This window comes from Homo sapiens, chromosome 15 (genome assembly GCF_000001405.40).
Source record: "Homo sapiens chromosome 15, GRCh38.p14 Primary Assembly".
In the NCBI taxonomy this organism is placed as follows: Eukaryota; Metazoa; Chordata; class Mammalia; order Primates; family Hominidae; genus Homo; species Homo sapiens.
The window spans coordinates 101,533,766-101,558,171 of record NC_000015.10 but is presented as its reverse complement, the minus strand read 5'-3'; the positions used below and the strand labels follow the sequence as shown (position 1 = coordinate 101,558,171).

At 49.9% G+C, this 24,406-nt stretch overlaps 4 annotated features.

Annotated features, from left to right (window-relative positions):
- Nucleotides 3,315–3,515: a silencer, noted in NCBI's record as "peak2457 fragment used in MPRA reporter construct". NCBI's record gives its function as "represses an SCP1 promoter by STARR-seq MPRAs in K562 erythroleukemia cells {active_cell/tissue: K562}" and the evidence as "EXISTENCE:reporter gene assay evidence [ECO:0000049][PMID:32103011]".
- Nucleotides 14,103–14,602: an enhancer, noted in NCBI's record as "H3K4me1 hESC enhancer chr15:102083773-102084272 (GRCh37/hg19 assembly coordinates)". NCBI's record gives its function as "activates a minimal SCP1, AML or CMV promoter by ChIP-STARR-seq in primed H9 embryonic stem cells {active_cell/tissue: H9 hESC(primed)}" and the evidence as "EXISTENCE:reporter gene assay evidence [ECO:0000049][PMID:30033119]".
- Nucleotides 14,603–15,104: an enhancer, noted in NCBI's record as "H3K4me1 hESC enhancer chr15:102083271-102083772 (GRCh37/hg19 assembly coordinates)". NCBI's record gives its function as "activates a minimal SCP1, AML or CMV promoter by ChIP-STARR-seq in primed H9 embryonic stem cells {active_cell/tissue: H9 hESC(primed)}" and the evidence as "EXISTENCE:reporter gene assay evidence [ECO:0000049][PMID:30033119]".
- Nucleotides 21,323–21,824: an enhancer, noted in NCBI's record as "H3K4me1 hESC enhancer chr15:102076551-102077052 (GRCh37/hg19 assembly coordinates)". NCBI's record gives its function as "activates a minimal SCP1, AML or CMV promoter by ChIP-STARR-seq in naive H9 embryonic stem cells {active_cell/tissue: H9 hESC(naive)}" and the evidence as "EXISTENCE:reporter gene assay evidence [ECO:0000049][PMID:30033119]".

Below are 24,406 nucleotides of genomic sequence, written 5' to 3'. Positions count from 1 at the left end.
AATTTGTCTTTCCAGCGTCCCTAATACACCCACGAAAGAGGGACCAAGGTTCAGGCAGAAAATACTCTCCTAAGAATATCGGTCTTTGGTGGTCACAAGAGGACAGTCCCTGAAGTTGGCTTTTTGTGACATTGCAACATTCAGCAGGAGGAATATATATAATTTTTTTTTTTTGAGATGGAGTTTTGCTCTTGTCACCCAGGATGGAGCGCAGTGATGTGATCTCTGTTCACTGAAACCTCCGCCTCCCGGGTTCAAGCGATTCTCCTGCCTCAGCCTCTCGAGTAGCTGGGACTGCGGGCACGCACCACCACGCCTGGCTAATTTTTGTATTTTAGTAGAGACGGCGTTTCACCATGTTGGCCAGGCTGGTCTCGAACTCCTGGCCTCAGGTGATCCACTCGCCTCGGCCTCCCGAAGTGCTGTGATTACAGGTGGGAGGAGGAATATTTTTAAAGCTGAAGACATCTGGCCACCGGTTCCTCCATGAAAGTGGATACAGCTTTTTAATGCATAAGCGGGCAAAGAGAATTTGCCAATAGCTGGGACTTCGTCACTTAAAATCTGGTAGGAGCCCCACTCCTATCCAGCCAGGACTAATGCTTTCTCTCATGTAGTTGTGAGGCTTGGCTTCTATTCACGAGCCCAAAGACTGGCAGAATCCAGGAGAAGGCTAAGAACAGGAGTGACCTCTCCAAGAGGCATCCACTCCAAACCCAGATGACGGAGTTAGGGGGCATGAACTGATCAAGAAGCAGAAACTGGACACACAGGCAGGGGTACTTACCTTTCTGGAGAATCCTAGAGGCCTCAAAGTGAGTGACACACACACCAAGTGAGTGACACCCACACTAAGGTGCCGGTGGGATTCCCACCAAGAGGCTGCTTCAGGTACGCACGGCCGTCCTGCCTGCGTCTGAGCACCAGATCCTGTTGAGCGGAAGTTTCTGCCCTGCTCCTTCACGGCGTGGGCACGGTCGTTCATCAGGCATGTGCAGCATCCTCAAACACTTCTAATGCTCACTGGTAAAACCAATCCACTTAAAAACACACTGCATTTCCAGGATCAATGAGGAGCTCTTAATGACCCCAGATCGCACGTCCTCCTCGGCCAGGCCCATCACCAGGCTAGCACTTGGGCCCTTCCTGTGGGCACATAGAGAACAATGTCGTCATTGGTTGTCCTCAGAATTCCAGCTCTGTCCTCTCAAGTAAGTCCTGGGCTTGTCCAGTCAACATATTTGCTAGGACACTGGTTTCTGGCAACCTCTTAGATGACTAGTAGTTGGGCTATCAGACTGAATTCTCTCTTTCAAATGTAAATACTTCCTAGCCAGGAAAAAAAAAAAAAAGCCGTGTCAAGTCAAATATTTAAACCCCAAGGAATTTTAGTCTTGTTCAGTTTCCAAACCTGGGGAAGTTAGGACCAGGGATAAAAACTAACACGTTTCCTCCAGGACTGCTGACAAGGATGTCTCCACTCTTCCCTCAAGACGCCTGTCGGTGCCTGATTTCTTACAAGGGCTCCAGTTCTTAGTCTGGATTCAGTGATTCCTGCTGTCAGTGGCAGGACCTGCTCTACGTGGCCCTGGCAGTGCGATCCAGCCTTCTTTATTGCAGGTACCTCACGCACAGGAGACCGGCGCTCCGGAGCAGGCTTTGCTGAAGCTGTGAGCAGAGGAGGGGTGATGCTGTGGACGAACGTACCTGGGACCCGGAACCCAGACCCCTCTACGCCCCAAGGCCCTGGTGGCTCTGCCGCTTCGAACCTTGCTTGGCCACCAAGCCTGTGACTCTGCCGATCGTCTTTGCCCTCCTCAAGTTTCCTCACCGCTCTGCAGCCTCCCCACACCTGCAAGGTCCCTGGCTTGTTTAAACAGAGAAATTTCACCCCCAGGACTCACTGCACCTACCCTCGTGTATCTAAATTCTCACCAATGGATGCTCAGCCAAAGTAGGGACAGCATCTAGAGGAGTGGGGGGTACAGCAGAAGCTCTGAGGAATCCCTTGTTCCTTCTCTCTTCCTCCTACTGTCCCTGAAAAACAGGTAGAGATCTGACTCACAGAAAGGAAGGATGACACTCCACATCAAAGGTGGAAGTGGACAGGTGTTTTCAAATAATCATTTCCAGCTGGGCTTGGGGGCTCAGACTTGTAATCCTAGCACTTTGGGAGGCCGAGGCAGGCAAATCGCCTGAGGCCAGGAGTTCGAGACCAGCCTGGCCAACGTGGCGAAACCCCATCTCTACTAAAAATACAAAAAATTAGCTGGGCATAGTGGCAGGAGCCTGTAATCTCAGCTACTGCGGAGGCTGAGGCAGGAGAATCATTTGAACCCAGGAGGCAGAGGCTGCAGTGAGCCGAGATCTCGCCATAGCGCACCAGCCTGGGCGACAAGAGTGAAACTGTGTCTCAATAAATAAATAAATAAATAAAATCATTTCATTTCCCACCCAAATATCCTGCTACATCTTTTAATGCATTTTCACATTCTCTGAATATTTCTGTTTACATCTGCCTCTTTCACCAGACTGTAAGTAAGCCTGGGACGGTGCACAGTTCTGGAAACACCAGAGGCCTCCCTCAGCCTTCAACTAAAAGGGTGAAGTGCAATCAGGAGAGACTTCCTGGAGGAGGAGGCAAGGCGAGGTGTGAGTTAGGCCTTAACAAATTTAGATTGGCAGCAAAGAGGGAAGAGGCAAAAGAATGTTGTGAGACACAGAGGGCATGGAACTGTTTTCCCTGAGTCAGGGAGGCTAAACCACAAGGCTTGGATTCACTGAACTGGGGGCCTGAATTAGAAGTGTGTGTCTTCCCCGCTGTGTAGGGCTGCCAGATAAAATACAGGATGCCTGGTTAAATTTAAATTTCAGACAAACAACAAATAATTTTTTGTGTAAATATGAAGCCATGCATTTTTGGAAACATACACTAAAAAATTATTCATTGTTTCTCTGAAATACAATCCACATCAAATTTAGCTGGGCGCGGTGGCTCATGCCTGTAATCCCAGCACTTTGGGAGGCCGAGGCGGGTGAATCACATGAGGTCAGGAGTTCAAAACCAGCCTGGCCAACATGACGAAACCCCGTCTCTACTAAAAATACAAAAAAAATTAGCCAGGCGTGGTGGCAGGCGCCTGTAATCCCGGCTACTCGGGAGGCCGAGGCAGGAGAATCACTGGAACCCAGGAAGCGGAGGCTACAGTGAGCCAAGATCATGCCACTGCACTCCAGCCTGGGCAACAGGAGCGAAAACTCTGTCTCAAAAAAAAAAAAAAAATTTAACTGGGAGTCCTGTTTTCATTCCGCTTAAATGTGACAACCCTCCTCTCAGAGACGCCAACGGGACCTCGCTGTGGCTCCTCTGGGGAAAAGAAAGTCCACCTGCCTCAGAGGCCCCTGAAGGACCTGACCCTACTGTGTTTCCTGCCTTGCCCTGCTGGATGGCGACTTGACATCTGAGGACAGAAAGCAGTCCCTTCCCGGGGCGGGGTTCCAGGCTCTGCTGTGCTGTGGCCACGGCAATGTGCTTCATGCCATTCCATAGAAGCAGCCTCCTCTCTGGCCGAATATGACTGCCTCACGCCAGCAAGGTGGGAGTGGAGTCGCTCAGGACTTCTTTAAATATTTTTTTGAAAATTTTTTTATGAAAAAGTTTTTTACGAGGGCCCAAGTACGCAACCTAACAGCTTCCACAAGTGCCACTGGGACCTGCAAGTCACGCAGAACCACGTCCGGTTCCATGAGAAATGTGTCATCCTTGGCAAATCGCGGCTCGAGCCCCTGCCTCAGCGGTGGGAGGCAGCTACGTGGGCCCAGCCCCACAGCCTCCACCTGAGGATTTCGTGACACTTAGCAAACACTGAGGAGTAAAAACAGACTTGGCCGGCTCAGCATTTATAAACAGCAATTCCTCAGAAAATTCCAGGTCTATATTAAGGTTTCAATGTTGTCGTTAAATAAACAAACCAAGAAGGCTCATAGTTTTTGCTGAGTTGTGTTACTCATGCGGACTAGCCTTGGCTTCTAAACTACTGCTCTCTGCCTCACTTTCTTCATCTGCCACGTGAGGATAACCATAGTATCTGCCTTGTGGATTTGGGGCTGGGGTAAAATGAGATAATCCCTGTAAAGTGCCCAGTTCAACACTGACAGTAATAGCAGCTGCTCGAAAAATGGGAGTTATTAGCATTGTGGGAAGTGGAATCATGGCCCCCTAAAGATGCTGCCCCCAACCTTATTCCCAGAGACAGTAACTAAGTCATGCCATGGGGCAAAGTGGGCTTTGCAGACGCAGTTGAAGTTCAGGAGCTTGAGATGGGGTGGTGATCCTGGATTTTTTCAGGCAAAAACAATCCAATCACGCAATCCTTAAAATTGGAGATCCATTCCCAGTTGTGGTCAGAAGAGGATGGGACTGTGGACGAGAGGCACAGGGAGACTTGGAAGGTGGATGAAGGGGCCAGGAGCCAAGGAATGAGGGCCGCCTCTAGAAATGGAAAAGACAAGGGCGTGGATTCTCCTCCGGGACCGCCAGAGACAGCACAGCCTGCCAAGGCCTTGACTTTATTCCACCGAGACCCATGTCTTTCGGCCTGTTGCACTGTAAAATCATAAATCTGTGCTGTTGGCTGAGCAAATGGCTTATACCTGTAATCCCAGCACTTTGGGAGGCCGAGGCAGGAGGATCACATGAAGTCAGAGGTTCAAGACCAGCCTGGCCAACATGGCAAAAATCTACAAAAAATACAAAAATTAGCTGGATGTGGTGGCACACACCTGTAATTCCAGCTACTTGGGAGGCTGAGGCACGAGAATCGCTTGAACCTGGGAAGTGGAGGTGGGTGCACGGTACAATCAAAACAGTGAACTAATCAGAGTGTTCACAAGAAGACAATTTTTAGAACTATCATAGGAAAGAACAGAATAATTGAGGGTCAAGGGCAAAAGAATTCTCAGAATAGTTTTCAGTGTAAATGTCCAACAACAGGGTACTAGCCTGGTTGTAATAATTCCAAATATAAAATACTGTGCAGCCAAAAGTGTTGAGAATATTGAATAATGTGGAATTTTCATGCTATTGAATGAAAGACGCAAAATATACAACCGCATGTAGGGAATAAGTTCATTTTTCTAAAAAAAAAAAAAGCAAAGCATAGGGATTTTCTATGTATACTCACACACACACACACACAGAGGAAAAATCTCTGGAAGGAGAAATAGCAAAAAAAGCATTATGAAGAATTTATTCTTTAGCTTGCTTGCGGCTTCTCCACGTTTAAGATGTCTTCTACCATGATCTTGTAATGCTTTAGATGTAAGGGAAACTTTATGAAAAGGCGCATCCCCACGGGCTACAAAATGGGATAGTAAGAGAGGCTGCAGTGGAAACCAGAACCCCTGGGCGTGTGCTGGAGAGCAAGGGTCCCGCCGGGGAGGCTGGTGTTGAGGGAGGGGCCGGGAGGCTTCCTCTTCTCAGCTTCTGCTGTGGGTCCCCGGGTCAGGAAGGAGGGAAGATGAAGCATCCCTGTGCCACCATCTTTCTTTAATCAATTGTATTGATTTTTCTAAACCCTGGGCAGGAGAACCCCTGGGAGAAAGACCGTTCTCTCTTACTCCTCTGGAGGCCAAAATGCCACAGTGGGGTGCCAGGCAGAAGGAAAGTGTCCCCTCGAGGACTCTCCTTGGCTCACAAGTTCACGGGCCCACAGTCTGAAGAACTTAGAGGAGAGGACTAAGAACTGCACCCGTCCTTGATTCTCGGCATCCACCCCCTCTCCTTCCAGCCACAGCTCAGTCACTGCTGGGTGCTGGGGTGCCCAGGCATTCAGACCACTCCCTGTTCTCCTGGAGTTTAAGCTCCTGCAGAAGCAGCCCTGTCTGCAAACCGTCACCTCACCATGGCGCAAATGTTTGGGAGCTGGAGGGCCCCAATGTCCCCGACACCCTGAGGATGGAGCGGCTGCACTCAGGCTGTTCCTCTGAGGGGATAAAGGGGACCCCAAGTCCCATGGCAGAGATTGCTCCCGCGCTAGCCTCCGTCCTCTCCTGGTTTCAGAGGGCTCATGGGCAGCCATGGGGTTTTACAGTTACCCCCGCTGGCAGAATTTAGCAGCACGAAATCCGATCTCTCTTGATTCTAATTAAAGATGCATAATGCTTGACTTGCCTCTGAGTTGCCTTGCCCCCACTGGTACTACCCACATGGGTATGCGATGCAGATCACTCTGGGTGCCTGCTGCCTACCTCAGGTTCCAGCAAAAGCCACAGGGGCTTGTGGGAGTGCCCTAGGAGCTGCTCAGGCCCCGCGTGGGGCTGCTCTGTGAGGCCACCCAGAGCTGCTGTAGGGTATTGGTCTGCCACCACCTGCCTGGCCCTGCAGACGCACCTAAGTGGCAATACTGCCCGGCACTGAGTTCAACCACAGAGCCTTGCCTGGAGCTCAGGCCCTTATGGCCCCCACTCAGCCTGGACAGCTATGCTATTTCAGAGTCACCATTTACACAAGGCACGCTGCTGAGAACCTCTTCTGTCCCAGGCCCCGAGCTCCAACAACATCCTGGGATTCAGGCGCTCCCTACTCCAAAAGGCCAGCCTTGCTGGGTAAGGAGAGAGTGGTCAAAATCTGCCCAGAGCTCATTCCCTTCGTCTCTGCTGTGATGACACCACCTGACCACCTTTCAAAAATCCTCTGCACCCTCTTCTGAGGCTAGAGGACTTCCCTCCACCACTCACGTGCCCAGGTGCCCTTCCAAAGTCCAGAAGAATCTCTCTCCCTTGAAGCCAGGAGCCATCTGTGGATTCTTCTCTTTCTAGTCTGAATTGTGTTTTCTGATCTCAAGGGAGAAACATTCACTATTTCATGGTTAAGTATGATGCTTGTTGTAGGGGTTTTTGTGTAGATACCCTTTGTAGCCGAAAAGGTGTCTGAGAAAGGTCTCAATCAATTTAGAAAGTTTATTTTGCCAAGGTTAAGGACACACCTGTGACCCAGCTCAGGAGGTCCTGATAACACATGCTCAAGGTGGTCGGGGCACAGCTTGGTTTTACACATTTTAGGGAGACATGAGACATCAGTCATTATATGTAAGGTGTACATTGGTTCGTTCTGGAAAGGCAGGACAACTCGAAGCAGGGAGAGGGCTTCCAGGTCATAGGTAGATAAGAGACAAATGGTTGCATTCTTTTGAGTTTCTGATTAGCCTTTCACTCAACATACACTGTACAGGAATAGTCACTTATGTCTTAGCCTGGCTCAGTGAAACCATAGGGAAGGGGAAGCAATAGGATATGCATTTGTCTCACGTGAGCAGAGGGATGACTTGAGTTCTGCCTGTCCGTTGTCCACAAGGAATTTCCTTGCGGGCAAATGGTGAGGGAGGTAGGTAGCTTTTTATTAATCTTTGTAGCTGTCTTATTTAGGACTAGAATGAAAGGCAGTTCCCGGCTCGACTTTTGCCTTTGGCTTAGTGATTTTGGGGAGATTTATTTTCCTTTCGTGCCTCTGTGATTAAGGAATCCCCTTCCATTCACAGCTTCTGTAGTTTCCACTATGAACAGGTGTTGGATTTTACCAAACCCTTTTTTTCATCCAGTGATATAATTACTACAGGACTTCCTTCTTTATTCTGTTAGTGTGGTGAATTCCATTGCTTTCTGCACATTAAACCAACTTCATATTCCTGGAATACCTTTTTATCTATCTTGGGTTTGCTTAACTAATATTTTGTTTCAGATATTTATGTTTGTGAGAATGTTTGTGAGAATGATTGACCTGCCATTTTACTTTTTCGTAATGACCTTATCAGATTTTGGTATCAAAGTTATGCTTGCCTCATGACAAGCGGGTGGCGTTTCCTTGCTTTCTGTTCTCTGGAAGAGCTTTCATCAGATTAGCATTATTTCTACCTGAAATATTCAGAAGAATGCACTGAAGTCATCTGGGCCTGGAGTTTTCCTTACAGGAAGGTTTTCTAATTATACATTTAATAGATATAAAATTATTCAGATTTTCTTTTCTCGTGTTCATTTTAAAAAGTTGCTTGGGTGAGAGGATTTGTTCATCTAAATTTTCAAGCAGATAGGACTGAATATGTCGACAAAATCCTCTCGCTTTCTTTTCAGTGGTCTGTAAGACCTTTCACTGTCCCCCACTGCTTTCCTGATATTGGCAATCTGCGGCTCCTTTCTTCTCACCCTGCTCGTAAGGTGAAGAGCTACCAGAATCCCCCTTCAGAAATGAAGTGCTCATTGCCCCAGCTGCCGAGAGTGCTGGTGACTCCCAGTGTCATGCGCCCTTTCCAGGGCAGCCTACGGGATGACTGCTCACTATGGGACATGAAGATCTGCCTCTGGCCCCGGCTTGGGATGACTCTCAAGGGTGGTGTCAGCTTCCGTCCTCCCTGAGTAGCTGGCTGAGGCATCCTGTGAGGCTGAGTTACAGCTCAACCTCTTCCTTTACCCAATCCTGGTTTCTTCCCTTTCTCTTCTCTTCCCTTCCCTTCGCTTTCCTTGGATTCCAAGAACAGTCCCTCGTAACCTTTCAGCACTGTGCTCTTCATCTCAGAATCTGCTGCCCAGGAAACCCAACTTACTACCGACTGTATTGCTCATTTCAAAAAGAAACGTTAACTTTATTGAACACCTCTATTTGCAAATTTGTTTTCTATTTCATTAATTTCTGCTATTATATTCTTTACCCCTTTCCTTTTATTTTCTTTAGGTTTAATTTGTTATTTTCCCAATTCCTTGAGATGGATGCTCAGCTCATTAATTTAAAAAATGTTAATTGTCAGATACACATAAAATATATCATCTTAACCATTTTGAAGTGTAAGGTTCAGTAACAGTAAGTAGATTCATAGTGTTATGCAGCCATCACTACCATCCATCTCCAGAACTCTTTTTATCTTGCAAAACTGCAACTCTGTACCCACGAAATACTAACTCCTTTGCCCCCATAAGCCCCCGAAAATCACCATTCTACTTTCCGTCTCTGTTAACTTGACCACTCTACGTACCTCATATAAGTGGAATCACTTGTATTTATCCTGGCTCATTAAATTTTATCCTCTTTACTTCTCTCACATATCCATTTCAGTATAGCTTAGCTTCATCTCAAGGTTTTATATCACATATTTATCATTCAGTTCAAAGAAAAAAATTTTTTTTTTTTTTAGACGGAGTCTTGCTTTGTCACCCGGGCTGGAGTGCAGTGACACGATCTCGGCTCACTGCAACCTCCACCTCCTGGGTTCACGCCATTCTCCTGCCTCAGCCTCCCGAGTAGCTGGGACTGCGGGCGCCCACCACCACGCCCAGCTAATTTTTTGTATTTTTAGTAGAGACGGGGTTTCACCGTGTTAGCCAGGATGGTCTCAATCTCCTGACCTCGTGATCCGCCTGCCTCGGCCTCCCAAAGTGCTGGGATGACAGGCGTGAGCCACCGCTCCCGGTCTCAAAATATTTTTGAATTTTTATTTGAGTTTCTTTTTGACCCGGGGTTATTTAGCAACATATAACTTAAGTTAAAAACATTTGGGGATTCCTAGTTTTGATTGCCAGCTTAATTTTAATGTGGTGAAAGAACGCAGTCTGCATGATTTCAGTCATTAGAAATGTATTGAGGTTTGTATCATTTCCCCGAATATGGTCAAATTTAGCCAATGCTCCGTGTGCAAATTAAAAAGAAGGCACATTCTGCAGTTTGTGGTGCAGAGTTCTGCATATATCTATTAAGTTTGTTAAATGTGTTGTTTGAATTTTCTGTATGCTTGCTGACTTTTTTTTGTCTACTTGTTTTTTCAGTTACTAAGAGAGTTGTGTTAAAAATCTCCCAGGATAATGGTGGATTTGTCTATTTTTCATTTTAGTTTTGTCAATTTTTTTCTTTACAATTTTGAGGCTAATTTAGAATTACTGTCTTCCTGGTGAATTGATCTTTCATCGTTACAAAATGCCATATAGTATTCCCAAAACATTATTATTGTTGTTTTGTATGATCGGTCTTGATTTAGATTTACCTGCATATTAAATCTTTGTATTTCTCTTCATTCTTCCCTGCATCTCTGTGCTTTCATCTAGGATCATTTTCCTTCTGCCTAAGGAACTCTTTTGCTAGTTTCTCCAGTGCAGGTGCTCTGGTGAATAATTCTAGTTTTCACTTGTCTGAAAATGTCTTCACATCACCCTCACTTTTGAAGGATATTCTTGCTGTGTATATAATTATATGTTGGCAGCAATTTACTTTCAGTGCTTTGAACATATGGTTCCGTTGTCCATTAGCTTTCATTGTTTTCTTTGAAGGAAATATGGTTTTTTTTCTATGGCTGCTTTTGGAGTTTTCTTTTTGGTTTCCAGGAGTTTTACTGCTATGCGTCTAGGTGTGTTTTTTTAATCTGTACTGTTTGTGCTTTATAGCTCTTCTGAAATCTGTAGTTTTCTGTTTTCCATCATTTTTGTCATCTCTCAGCCATTTTGTCTTCAAATATTACTTCTAATCTCTCTCCTCTCTCTTTCTTGGACTCTAATTACATATTTTCTCTTAAATTCTTTTCTGTATTTTTCATTTTTTTCTCCTTGTGCTTCAGTCTAGATATATTTTTCTAACTATCTTCACAATTACTTATTTTCTTCAGCTATGTCTAATCTGTAGTTAAACTTAACTATTCCCATAAGTTTAGTATCATATTTTTAAGTTCTAAAGTTTCCATTTATTGCTTCCAGGATGCTGCTGAAAATACCTATCTAATTTCTGGAATATACTAATCTCAGTTATTTTAGTTTTTAAAAGCCTCGTAACACCAATATCAGAATCTCCAGAGGATTTTTTGTATTGTTTATTTTTTTCCTCTTGCTCCAACCTTATCATTTTTCATACCTGGTTAGTTTTGATGGAATGTTAGCTATTGTGTTTGAAAACTGCAGAAAAGACTCAAGACCCTGGGTGTTATCTTTCCCCAGAGAATATTAACTTTTGCTTCTGGTCATCATCAATGGCAGATCACCTAACTTAATTAGGGCCTGAGAGGATTTGAACCTGGGTGTCAGCATGAATTCCAGGGTTTATTTAGGGTGACCATCTTCATCTGTTCTCTGTTCCTATAATAGAATACACAGAGTGGGTAATTTATAATAAAAATAAATCTATTTCTTACAGTTCTGGAGGCTGGAAATTCTAAGGTCAAGGAGCTGCATCTGCTGAGGACCTTTTTTTCTGTCTTGTACCATGACAGAAGGCATCACAGGGTAAGCGGGGTACACAGGGCAAGTGGGGTGCACAAGAGAGAGCCAAACTGGCTTTTATAACAGACCCACTCTCAAAATAACTAACCCACTCCTATGACAAGCCATAGTCCATTAATCCATTCATAAGGGCACAGACCCATGACCTAATCACCTTTTAAAGGTCCCACCTGACCCCGCCTCTTAATGCCCTCACAGTGGCAATTCAACTCCAGCATGAGTTTTGGAGGGGACACTCAAACCACAGCAGTTACCAAGAACCCTGGATTGCCTTGGACTGAGGGGATTCCTGGGACAGAGGACCTTCTGTGCTAAAACCAGGACAGTCACAGACAAACCAGGGTGGTTGGTCACTCTAGGTAGCTCTTTGGGCCCCTGAAATGAAGGCCTGGGGTATCTACCTTTGACTCCTCTTTTGCATACCCTCCATGCCAATGTTTGTTCCCTTGTCTTGTGAGATTGTCAGCAGTTCACCCACTTTTTCCTTATGAGATTGTCAGCAGTTCACCCACTTTTTCAGCCCCTCCATCACTGCTTGTTGCTTAGCTTCTCAACCTCTCAGCTGCAGCTGAGAGAGAACCGGCAACTGCCTTGAGAGAGAAATAGGCACCGAACTTCCAGCTTATCCTCCTGTGTTCCTCTTCTCTCCAGGACCTGGACCTTTCAAGTGCTCACTGCCCTGGGGCTACTCCCACGACTTCAAGCAGGTGATTTATACATTTGTCTACAGCTTTTCTAGTTGTTCTTGATAGGAGGGTTGATCTGAAATAAGCTAGTCCAACATTGTTGGAAGCACACATTGGCTCACATGTTTTTAATGCTTTTGAAAACAGTGCCAAAATGCCCTCTGGAAAGATGGCATCCATGCTTGCTCTTAGTTGTGGGCAAGAGAACCCGTTTCTCCACATCTCACCAACACTGGGTGTCACCGTCTATGCCAACGACAATTTATCTTTGTATCTTTTCCACTTGCTAGCTTCAGAATGGGTGAAGCTTTAATTGTTACCTTTCCCTGGTCCCTAGTGAGGTGGGGCTTTATTTCGTGTGTTTAATGGCCATTTGTGTTTACTCAACAGAATGTTTTTAGTGCAAACCTTCACTTGGACCTTATGCGTTGAACATTGCCCTACGGATATGATAGATGGAAATTGGAAAACACAAGCTGTTGATGAGTTTTTGGCCAGCAGCCTCTTGGTTACAGGTTCACCCAGTGACCTGGGCAATTGAAATGTCTCCAGACTTCAGGGCTCACTCCTTATTAAGGACTCCAACATCAGGTCCCCTACCGATGGGAGCCACTTCACAGTTAAGCCTGTGGGTCTCGAGGTGGGCTCAGGGTGCTGCAATCCTGACCACAAAGGCTGGGTCCTGACACGAGGTGGGTGACAGGTTCTGGAGGGTCAAGGACTCTAATAAATGCAGTGATAAGAGAAGAAACAGAATCAACACCCCAAATCCTGTGGAGAAGAGAAACGAACCAGGCTCAGAGTGGACAGGCATCCCCATTTCCACTCTTCCTTCCATCTCCAGGACCATCACCACCGCGGGCAAAAGGAGTGCTGCTTTTGCGAGAGGATTGTCTTAAACCTGACTACGTCTTATGCCAAGCAACATGCCTGGCACACACAGTCTCAGAAACCCCGGCTTCCTCACTGTCTCACACAAAAGGTGCATCAGTAGCATCTTCTGCAGTAGAATGCGTTTGTGTCTGGGCTTAATTTCGGTGTTTGCCTTCTAAATAGTTCCCTGTGCCAAAGCGGCTGCGTTTGGGCGTTTAATTAATAATTTTTACTATAAGAGAGTAGGTCAAAGCATTCTTAATGAAGGAGGGGGAGAAAGAAACCGTTCTGTTCTCCTCAATCCCACAGCGATTCTCTTTGGGCTCACAAAGGCAGCAGCTCTAGGGCCAAATTTGGGCATCCCACAATGATAGGTTCAAAGAGGGATTTTCACATTTAATTACCCCCCCAGGTAGCGCCTATATCTTTATCAAGTAAATGTGTAATTGGGAGTTCCTGCTTGGAGACTGGAGTCTCCGTCGACAAGAACTTAAAGACCAGCTTCCCACTGGTTCTAAATGGTCTTTTATAGCAGGAGACTCCCAGATACAGGGTTTTTTCAAAGGCTTTCTACAGCAATTAATGGCTAAAAGCAAATAGCCAAACCTCAGATCCTGACTGTGTGCCAAATCTTTCACTGCTGGGGGAGTCTCTCACAGCAGTATTTGTTCTCTTAAGTTGCTTGAAACAGGGAATATTTTACACCCATAAATAACTGTTTTTGGTGGGGAAGGAGGGACAGGTGAGCCACAGCAATGTTTTTTTTTTAAGAAAAGGGACAGTAAACTTATTATGCCTCAAGAAATTTCCAAGTATGTCCCATATTCCTTGCAGGAAATACCCTGTAATGTTCCTTATTCCCATGCCAATTTTCCTTCCTCCTTATTTTAACGAACAAGACTTGCAGCGATCCCAGGTTAGCGCTCGCCTCTTTAACATTTTTTCCATATTGTTATTTGGAGACTGGCTTGGCCTTCAGACTCCTTTCCACCCACACATATGGCCGCTCAGAACTGGCCGTCCAGACGGTCTTCGTGGGCAGGGAGGCCCGTGACACTGGGGGACTGGCCTCTGACCACAGTGGCCACGGCGTGGTGAGAAGCAGAGAGGCCAGGAGCCACAGGCTGAGGTCACACGGATGGGTGGGAGGCGGGGTGGGCTGGAGGGCATCAGACCCGGGAGACTGGGGTGGGAAATAAAGCTCCCCCACCATCCTGCCAGGCAGCGGAGGGCTCTGGGCCACCTGTTCCTATTGGGAGCACGAGTGCAGCTGGAGCAGGTGGTGTGGGCACAGAACTGGGGAGACCCTGCGCGCGCGGGGCAGGGGGCTCCTGGGCAGTGCCAGTTCTGTGCTGACTGAGAACGTCCTTGGGAAGTCCTGCTGGCTGCAAGCAGTGCTGTGAACAACGCTTTCTAAAGTGAAGCCTTCCCTGTTCTCATCAGTCCAGCGGCATGAACGTGAGCTTTTCCGAAGCCTGGGTCTTTCGGGTTCCAGGTCATTGTTGTAATCCTCCATTGCTGTGGAACAGGGACTACATTGGCTCAGCTGCTGAGGCCCTCGGGGACAGGAGCCCGCTCAGGACCCCATACAATAAAAGGTGGTTTGCCATGACCTCTAGGTGATTTCCCTTAGAGTAAAATAAGAAATACCACGCACTAAGCCCTAGGCAGTCTGGGGTCTTGGTTTGGTGCGGGGGCTCCGCAGCCGGCCTGCCTGGCTCAGATCCCATCTGTCCCACCTGCTGGCTGAGCCGTTCACCCGCCCCACCTGTGCCTCCACCCCCTCAGCTGTAGAAGGACGAGGGTAGCAGGTTCTACCTGCGGGGAGAGCGTCAGTGTTAGCAAAAGGGCCTGGCACACCGTATGTGTCTGGTAGATGCTAGCCATTGCTTGTGTTTGACTTCCTAGGATAACATAAGGAACATACCACCTGGTTTGGTAAAGGTACCGAAGGCAGGAGAGCAAGGGAAGCGGAAGGAGGAAGGATGGGGTTGCCCCCCATGCCCTTCACTCCTGTAGGCAGAGTCCCTCCAGAACCAGCTCAGTGGGCCTGGCAGACACTTGCCCCTTGGTCTGGCTGCAAACTCAAGTGAGGCCTCCTGTGCCAGGCAAGGACCCCGGTCCCACCGCTGTGTGTGAGGCTTTGGGAGGAAGGCAGTGCCCAAGGAGTCCGCACTGACACCAGCGCCACTCCCTCTGAATACCACCCACTCCCAGACACATGCCAGATGTAGATATTCCCGGGGGCAGGCCTCATTACAGGGAAAATTGCACCCTGAGGGACCACAGGCAGCGCATGCCCAAGGCCAGTGGGGACTACAGCCCCTAGAAACCCCCCGACCTAGGCTCCTGCGCCCCCTCCTCCCTCATGGCTGCAGACAGCAACCACCAAACAAGAGTCTGCCCAAGTGGATCTCCCCACCCCAGGACGGTGGTTTTAGGTGCTGGAGATGGCAGGGGACGATGGGGAGAGCAGTGCTGGGGTTGGGTGGGGGGTCAGCGGGGAGAGCAGTGCTGGGGTTGGGTGGGGGGTCAGGGGAAGTCCCTCAGCCTCAGGCCGGGGAAAGGGCAAAATGAAGTCCCTCAGCTGTGTGTGAGGACAGACACCGTGGCCGGGACCCAGGGGCTGACAGCTGCAGAGCTGAGCTCCCCTCACAAACCTAGGAGTGTGGGCTGTGGGGGCTTTTCGAGGGTTCCCCCAGTTCTGGGGAAAGTGGGTCCTGGGGATTCCCGTGAAGACCTAGTGTCCGGCAGGAGGAGGGGCAGGAGGACAGCGAGGGGGCCTGGGAGGAGGAGTAGGATGGAAGGGAGCTTGAGGGTGCAGAGAAAACAGCTCTGGAGGCCTGGAGGCTTAGAGGAACCTGGGTGGGCGGGCCCCAGCCTACCCTGCGCTGGCCCAGGTAAGGCCCGTGCTCTCCTGCCTCTGTGCCATTTCCACCCTACATCCCAAAGTAAGGGCTCTTTCCTTTATTCTGTCCATCCAAACCTTACCCAGAGTCCATGTGCGACCCCGTCACACCCCTGCCTAGTACCTGAGAACTCCAGCCAGAAACTCCTCGCCCACAGATCTGCCATCTGTTGAAGGTAACTGGGTAATGGGCACACCCACCTGAGCCCTTTAGGACATCAGTGGCTGTGTTTTATTCATTGCCACATCACCTGCACCCACCTCAGAGCCTGGGTCACCCACTGGCTCACTGCCTCCAACAAAGATGGTGTGAGCCCTACCAGGCTGTGTGGGCACTGAGCTGGGACAGGCAGGCGGTGGCCCCGGCCCACAAGTCCTCATCTTCATCAAGCTGACATCCAAGAGGGAAGATGGGTGATGGACGAGCAAACAGGTGGACCAGGGGATTTCAGAACACTGGGGTGCTGGGGAAGAGACTGCACCTGGGAGGCCAGATAGGGCCTCCCTGGGGAGGTGGTGCCTGAGCTAAGGCTGGCATGGAGAGATGGCAGAGACAGCTTTCAATAAACCATTCAGGTGAAGCTGACGACAACAGGCAGTGCTGGGAGAGGATTGCGGTCTCGGGGCCTCGGTGCACTTGCAGGGACCACCACTGTCTCCGCGCCAGGCCCTGCCTCCTGGTGCCCTGCCAGGCTCTCTCCTCTGCCACCCAGATAGACCCAATCAAAGGGGAAACTGAGGTGCTTTCAGGAGGGGATTACGTGAGGCTAGGATGCTCGCGCCCTGGAGAAACCATCTCAGAGCTCACTGAGCCCAGGGAGTCCCCAACCGTGGGAAGTTCCTCAGGCCTCAACCCCTCATCAGAGTCCCAGTGCTGAGTCAGGTGGAAGAGGGGACAGGAGGCCCATCCTGACTTCCCCGAGACCCTGATCTGTGCCTCACAGGGAGGAGAGGCTCCAGGAATGAGACGCCAGCCCCACCAGGAGCCTTGGGGTCTTGGGCCACGCCCACCAGAGAGGACACCAAATCCCACAGGTGACTGCACTGCCATGGAAAATCTCACCTGGTCTCCCCTCCAGGAGGGGCCAGGAGCATCTGGATGGTCTTATCTCAGAGACCCCCAACCCTGCTCCCAGCCTCCAGGCTCCCAGGGTCCTGGTGGTCTCTCTGTGCCAAGGGCCATGCCCTCCTCACCCCCAAAGAGTAGCCTGGATCTCTTCCTGTCTGTCCACAGAGACCCTGGGCTGCCCTGGGAGCTCTGCTTGTTGTAGGCACCAGATTTCTGTGGTATGCAGGGTGCATGGTGGGCGTGGGGAAAAGTGTCCTCAGCTGACTCCTGTAGCTGTTCCTGGAACCCTCCTCCCCTCCACGTACCTCCCACACCCCCAGCAGCCCAGGCCAGTTTGGGTTCATTCTAGTTCCTGCCCAGGGAGTGGCACCTCCCCAGACTTTGGCTGCCCATACCTGCATTCTCAGCCCCTGCACTGGCGCTGGGCCTCCAGAGAGCTCCAGCTCCCCTGCTTCTCCGTGGGATCCCTGATCCCTGACGGACCTCAGAGACCTGTGCTCCACTCCCAGACCAGTCCCAGCAAATGGAATGTGATGCCACCTGTCTCCAGACCAGATCCCCGGGGCTGGCTCCAGACCTCCTCTGTGGCGTCGCTCGTCCTCCTAGTTGGAGAGCCATGACCCTGGGCACTCTGCACTGTTATCCTCTGGGGCCCCCTGGTGAACATCACTCCTAGCATCTGGCTGGAGGTGGACTTGCTGATGGGCTGTCCCCAGCACCCCCACATCATTGCCTGCAATCTACCTGGGGAACCCCGGGTGGACACCCACTTTTTAAATAGGCCAGGCATGGTGGCTCATGTCTAATCCCAGCATTTGGGGGGGCCAAGGCAGGAGGATCACTTGAGGACAGTTCAAGACCAGCCTGGGCAACATAGTGAGACCCTCATCTCTACAAAACAAAAACAAAAACAAAAGAACCCAGGTACTTGGAAACCAAAGTATGGTGATTCTCCCAGGTTCCCTGCCTCACACCAAGTGCTTAGGTCAAGAAGCAAACCCACCTTGATTGGTTCAGGTTGTTTGGAAATTCCAACCTGGGTAAATGATGGAGGGCAAAGGAGGATGGAAAGACAAGGAGGCTTCAGGTTCCTCTGTTCCTACTAAAGTGTGGATCCTAAGCAGAGGCTTCCTCGGTTCAAAAGCTTTCAGCGGCTATTCGACCTTTGAACACTGCAGAGGGTGGGATGCTAGAGGGAGCTTTAGGAAGTGGGAGGCAGGGACAGGGATAATGAAGTGTCCGTACAAGACACCACCCTGGCTTCAGGAATCAGTGGCCAGGGCCCGTTGCTTCTCCACATACTGCAAGGCAGGCCCTGGACCTGACTGTTATTATTTCATGGCCAGGGGCATGTGGAACACACTGTATTTTGTGTTGAAGTCTCTTTGAATCATCACCCGGTGATTTGCATTCCTAAAACTCAAGATGTGGGCGTTTATATGAATATTTTAATACTGTTCTTAGAGGTAGCGTTCGAGGCTACCCCTTAATTAATTTGATTTTTGGAATCTGGAGAGAAAAAGTTTTGCCAGGAATGCATTATTGGCCTACCAGGGGCCCCCTTCCACCTCTGCAGACACAGACACACGCACCCGAACCCCTTCCACGAAGGCTGCTTGCTGTTCAACAAACACAGGTGCAGAAGCCACTCCAGCTGGAAGCAGGGTTGCAGCAGCGTCCTCTCGGCCAGAGCTCACTCCGTCCTTCTCAACACTTCCATGGACTTGTCCCAGCGCCCGGAGGGCAGCAGGGCACAGGCTGACCTGGCACAGTATGCTTGAATCCCCGCCGCGGTCCTGTTTCCATTTGAGAAGTTTATTCACGTTGTTTCAGTTTTATTTTTATTACATGAATAGTACCAGCTTATTGGTGAAACATTAGAGAATAGGCGAAAACAAATGAACAGCAACTCCAATTCCTCTGTCCAGATATTCAGAAATTTTCCTGTGTGTGGGCATAAGCATGCACGTACATGTGCACACACTTCCAGTTACAATAGCTGTGTAACAAACTATCCCCAAAACAGAGTGGCATAAAACCACCATCTATTATCCTATGAGAGGAACTTGGTTGTGTGCAATGGGGATGGTTCTTCTCTGCCCAGTAACGTCTGGGGTCTCAGCAGAGACACTAGGAGGGTCAGTATCATCTGAAGCCTCGTTCAGGCCAGTGCTGGGTGTTGGTGGCCAGTTGGTGCTGTTGGCCTCTTCAAGCGGCCAGGGCTTCCTCACAACATGGTGGCTGGGTTCCGAGGGCAAGTGTCCCAAGAGATAGAGAGAGCCAGGCAAAAGCAGCTTTTCTGACCTAACTTCAGGAGTAATGGGCGTCTCCTTTACCACCTCATTTTAGCTGAAAGTTGCAGAGACCTGCCAGGCTCAAGGGGAGGGAAGAGACACTCCGCCTTCGGACAGAGAGTGGCAGAGTTCTGGAAATGCATTCAGGACCAGAAATACTGCTATGGCCATTTTTGGAAAACACAATCTGCCATGTTAAAATTTCATAATATTTTCATGCTACACTTACAGCTTCCCTTTTATTGAGGTATAACATTCACACAATGCAGGGCTCAAATCTTGAGTATACAGCTCAATGATTTGATAAGTCTATAATCCTTTGTATCCCCCCACCCATCAAGACAGAGAACATTTCTGGCATCTGGAGGGTTCCCTATGCCCCTTGCTGGTCAATACCCACCCTTTTCCCCACGCTTGCACACTCTCTGACTTTTATCACTAAAGATGTGTTTTCTAGCCTGTGTTTTTCCCAAACGCATTATTAATGGTTAACCATGCCAGTACTCACTTTGAATAGCTGTATGGTTCACACACGTATGGAAATATCATCGTTTAACCAATAACTTGTGGTTGGAACTCTAAGGGTTTTACAACATCCATGAGGGAAAATCAAAAGATGGTAGACCATGGCTCTGCCCAAGGGCCCTATCACCACAACCCACCTCGTGAAAACTGTTGGCTGCCTTCACCCCCAACCTGGGGTTTCCTGGGGACAGTAATGGGGACAGCTGCTGGCCAGACAGCACTGGTCACAAGGGAAGATGGTCCCTCCACAAGGCATATATATGGCTTGATCCTCCTGGGGTTGGCCTGAATGACTTGGAAAGGAGATTTATTTATCTGCCACCATTTTAACCATCTGTCCAGTAAGAAGACTATGTCCCAGAGGCTGAACATACATGGTGGCATGGTGGCCTGCCTTTCATACTGCTCTCCTGTATCTCTGCTTTCTCTGAGTGGATAGCATTTCTCCTCTGTCTGTGTCCCTTCAGAATGCCTGGGCTGAAATGTGCTTTGCAATTAAGTGGCACAGGCTTGCTTTATAGACTTTCCTTGTCTGTTAGTTCTAAGTCTTTCCTATAAGGGTGTCATCATATTTGCCCACAACCAAACAAGAAGATGAAAGGGAGGAAAGGGTAGAGGCATGAGGAAGAGAGGGGGAAGGAGAGGGGAAGTACTGGCTGGAGGAAGAGAGGAGCCACTGTTCTAATTTTGCTAGGGGGGAAGTCAGGGTTTGTGAGGTCATATATCATCATGTTGAGTTTACAAATAAAGACACCAGAGACCACTGGTGCTCAAACACAGGATGCAGACGCTCTGTCTGCAAGGCATTTTTTTCTAAGGAAAATTAAATTCCAAAAATATTTGCACTGACTTGAAAAAAAAAAGCTTCTCCTCACGTCTCCCAGTTTCAGCTGCATTCCTCATTTGTATGTTGAGTATGAATCCCTTTTTAAAAAGTTTAAATAAGAACAGAAGCTATCCAAGATTGGAGAACACATTGTGTAAATGGAAAGAACACACTAAATGGGAAGCAAGAAAAAGTGGAGAGAAAGCCCCTTCCTTCCCCATTAAATGGCATGGAAAGGCAGCCCTCAGAAGCTCCCTCCTGATCATCCAGCCATCAGATGGCAAGGGAGAGGGCCGTGTAAGGAGTGCTGTGTTTGGGGCACAGGTGGGGCCAGCATGAGAGGGGAGCCCGGGCAGTAACTCCAGGATGGGATGAGAGTGCCATCCCCAGAGGCAGAAGGCAAGCCTGCAGAGCTTCACTGTGGCCCCTGCAGATTTGTCAGAACGGCATCTGCAGGCAGCACATTTTAGGAACACAAGTGATCGACTGATCCCGGCGGCCTTCCTCAGCTGGGAATAACAGCAGAAGGGAATGTCTTAGGATCCAGAGATGGGACCAGCTAGCTTGCCAAGTGCTTCTCGGCCTCCGCCCGCCATGGAGCCATTGTCCCTCCCGGGTGCCTGCAAACCTTAGGGCAGTGCTGGGTGGTCACTGCGCTCCTCTCCTCTGCCAAACCCTGAAGAGCTGCCTCCGGAGAGGGACACCTCGCCGTGAGCACACCCTCTGCTGCATCCTTGGCTCCGCACAGGAAAGATCAGCTCGCGAGGCCCCCTGGGCCTTATGCCCCGTGACGGCTCTAGGAGGGTTCCCTGTGGGCAGCAGCAGATGGGGCGGGGACAGGCCTCCAAGACTAAGAGCCCCGGGTGTGGCCGCGAGTCACCATTTCTGCTCTGTTAGGTGAAGAACTTGGAGAAACTGATTCACGTCAGGGAGATGAGAAAGGGCAGGCATTCCACTCCCGTTAGCTCGTAGAACTCCTCGCCACTGCCCTGCCAGGAAGACCCAGACAATGAAGCTGGGGCCCGGAGGCCGAATCACTGGCCCCAGGACAGCGCTGAGCTGGGGACCACCCACCACCCGACTGGGGTTCTTTCTCTGCCACCTTCCCCGGGTCTGTCCCCACGCTGCTCCCACAGCTCTGGGCTGGCCTTGGGCCCACCTAGCAGGAGGCTGTTCCATGGGACCTTCCAGTGCCAGGGGAGGCTGTGGACTCCAGGCCATCCCTTCTCCAGGGTCACCGTGAGGCCCCTCCGGTGACTTCCACCAACCACGCCTGGTCTAGGGTCCACCTGGGACACCTTCTTGTGAAAAGAGAGCATGGCGGTGGCAACACATCCCACAGAGTGAGCAAGCTGCTTGGGGTTCGGGCCGTGTCCCCTCCTGCCTCCTCCTCTCTCTCTGCTGATGAGCCTTCCCCTCTCTGCCCTGGGAAAGCAGAGGCCATGGGAGAAGTCCCCACACCCCCAGTGCTGCCTGTGGGCCCCGAGGCTCTGCCCTTCCTTCTGTGTCTGGGTTGCGCCGTCCACCCCCGCCCCCCGCCCCACAAGACCAGCGGCTCCTCCTGGCCCCAGATCCTGCTTCTGGAGGACACCCCTCCACAGGCCCAGCAACTCCTGACCTTCCCCTGGGCCACGGCCATCGGCTAGAAACACATGGTTATTTCTCTCTTTTCATGTCTTAAAAGACAAACATCAAACAAGAAATCCTCCCTTGAGTCACTCCCTACCAATCCCCCCAGTTACTGCCCTATCTCTCTCTTTCCCTTTCCGGAAAATTCCATGATAGGCTGTCTATCCTGCTGTCTCCAAGTCCTCTTCTTCCTTTCTCTGTAAAAAGCAGCCTGGCTTTCACCCCCACACCTCCCAGCGGCTCTGCCAAGGCCAGCACTCGCCCCCAGGCTGCCCCACCCAGCACCGGTCTGGTCCTCATCCTTGTCTCTGCCTGCCTTGGGCTCCACTGGCTGCTGGTCTCTCCCTCCTCCTCTCCCCATTGACCACCGGGGACTCCATGGGAGCCACTTCCCATATAATCAACACTCCCTCTACCCATGAGCCGAGAATTCTCCTGGCCTGAAAGACCATCTGTGCAAACAACCCTACACGCGTTTCCCACTGGCCTGTCCTGCACACCTGGGCCTCTCGGGTCTCTGGCCCCTGCTCCACCTTGTCTCGCCCACCCCGGAGAATGGCAGTTCCGTCGCACGCACCATGCATTTGCGTCTTCTTGACTCCCCTCCTTCCACACCATTACTTTAGGACACGGAAGTGCGCCCTCCATGGGGCCACTATTGCCCCCATGATTGCCACCACCCTGGGCCCTGTGGTCACCACCTCCCGCCTGGAACATCGCAAGCGCCTGGCCTCACCTCCCTGCATGCACATGTGCCCCTGCAGTCTTGCCTCAACACGCGGAAAGGGTGGCTCTTTCACGTACAAGCCACATGTCCCTTTGCTGTTTGAAGGCCCTACCCTCCGCCAGCTCCCTGTCCCATACGAGACAAAGCCAGTGTTGAGGCTGCGGCAAGGCTGCGAGATCCGGCCCTGTCACCCCAGTGCCCTCGCCTTCGGCTCCTCTGCTCCCAGCTTCGGCTCTTCCTCCCCTCACCCCGACTCCAGGGCCTGGCTGTTCCCTCGGGGTCCCCCTTCCTGGGTTTCTTCAATGTTTACTCGGATTTCTCCATCTTGCAGATGTCTTCTCTGGCCCAACTATGTAAATTGCAACCCCTCAGCCCACCCCGGGCACTTCCTATACTCTTTACCTGCTTTGTTTCCCTTCTTATCTGTGTGTGTGTGTCCCTCTGTTCGAAGGTAACAGAATGTCCTCTCCATGGAAACGGGGGGCTGTGGCTGTCTTGTCTACTGCTACCTCCCCGGGGCCCTGATCAGAGCGGACACAAAGCCGGCTCAGTGAGGAAGTAAACGACCTATACAGTCAGTCCCGCTCCAGCATCTCCAGCCTCTCGCCCTGCCCGTCACTCAGCATCAGAGCTGATCTGTAGTAGATGACTCCTGGATCTCATGCATGGAAGAACACAGTGTAACCTGGGTGAATCCATTGAAAAGCAAAGCGCAGGGTGGGCAGAGCTGCTGGGGTCACACACGAAAAGCAAGTCCAGGAGGCAGGTCAGTTACAGCCAAAGAGGAGAGAAGTGAGAAAGATGACGCCTGGCCCAGTGCGCACTTTCGAAGGGAGCAGCTTCCAAGACAGCGTCAGAGAGGGCCTGGGGAAAAGCCACGAGGCCTTCAGGGTTTTGTGAGATGACCCTATTCATGATCGGATGCCGAAGTCAGAAACTTAAAGGACACAGCAGAGCCCAGGGGGGTACGCGTTCAGACCCCAGCCCTCCTAACACTGGCTGCGTGACCTGGTAATGCACAGAAGCTCTCTGTGCTTCAGCTTTGTCACCTGTGAAATGGAGATAGAAATGGGATCTGTCTCGGTGAGTGCTGTGAGCATTAGATGAGTGTAGATACACATCCATGGTGCCTGGCACACAGTAAGTGGTGTTAACTATTTGCTATTAATTTTGTAAGCGCATATACAATTATGCCAAAAAAACTAATTAATAATAGCTTCCTTTCCTCTTTCATTCTAAAAATTGGCTCAGGGTTGCATATCAAGTAATTTATTTAAATACAATTTTTCACAATATATTGATATATAATATATAAATAATTTACACAAATGTGCTTCATTTTTTACGTAGGTTCCAGTCAAACCCTGTGTTTTGTGTTTTTTTTTCACTATTGACTGTGAAATTTGCTCTCCATTTAAGCAGACTCATGTTAGGGGACTTTACCCAGGTCCAGCTGTCCTTTGCCTGGCCAGGTAGGTGGGAACTGATGGAGGAAATTAGTTTTCAGAAGAGGACAGAGCCGGGAATGAGGAGATGAAGAGGCCCAGTGTAGGGAAGGCCCTCCCAGGAGTGCTAAAGGTGGGCTCAATGGGGAGTCCTTGCTTCCTTCCTTCTTTCCTTCC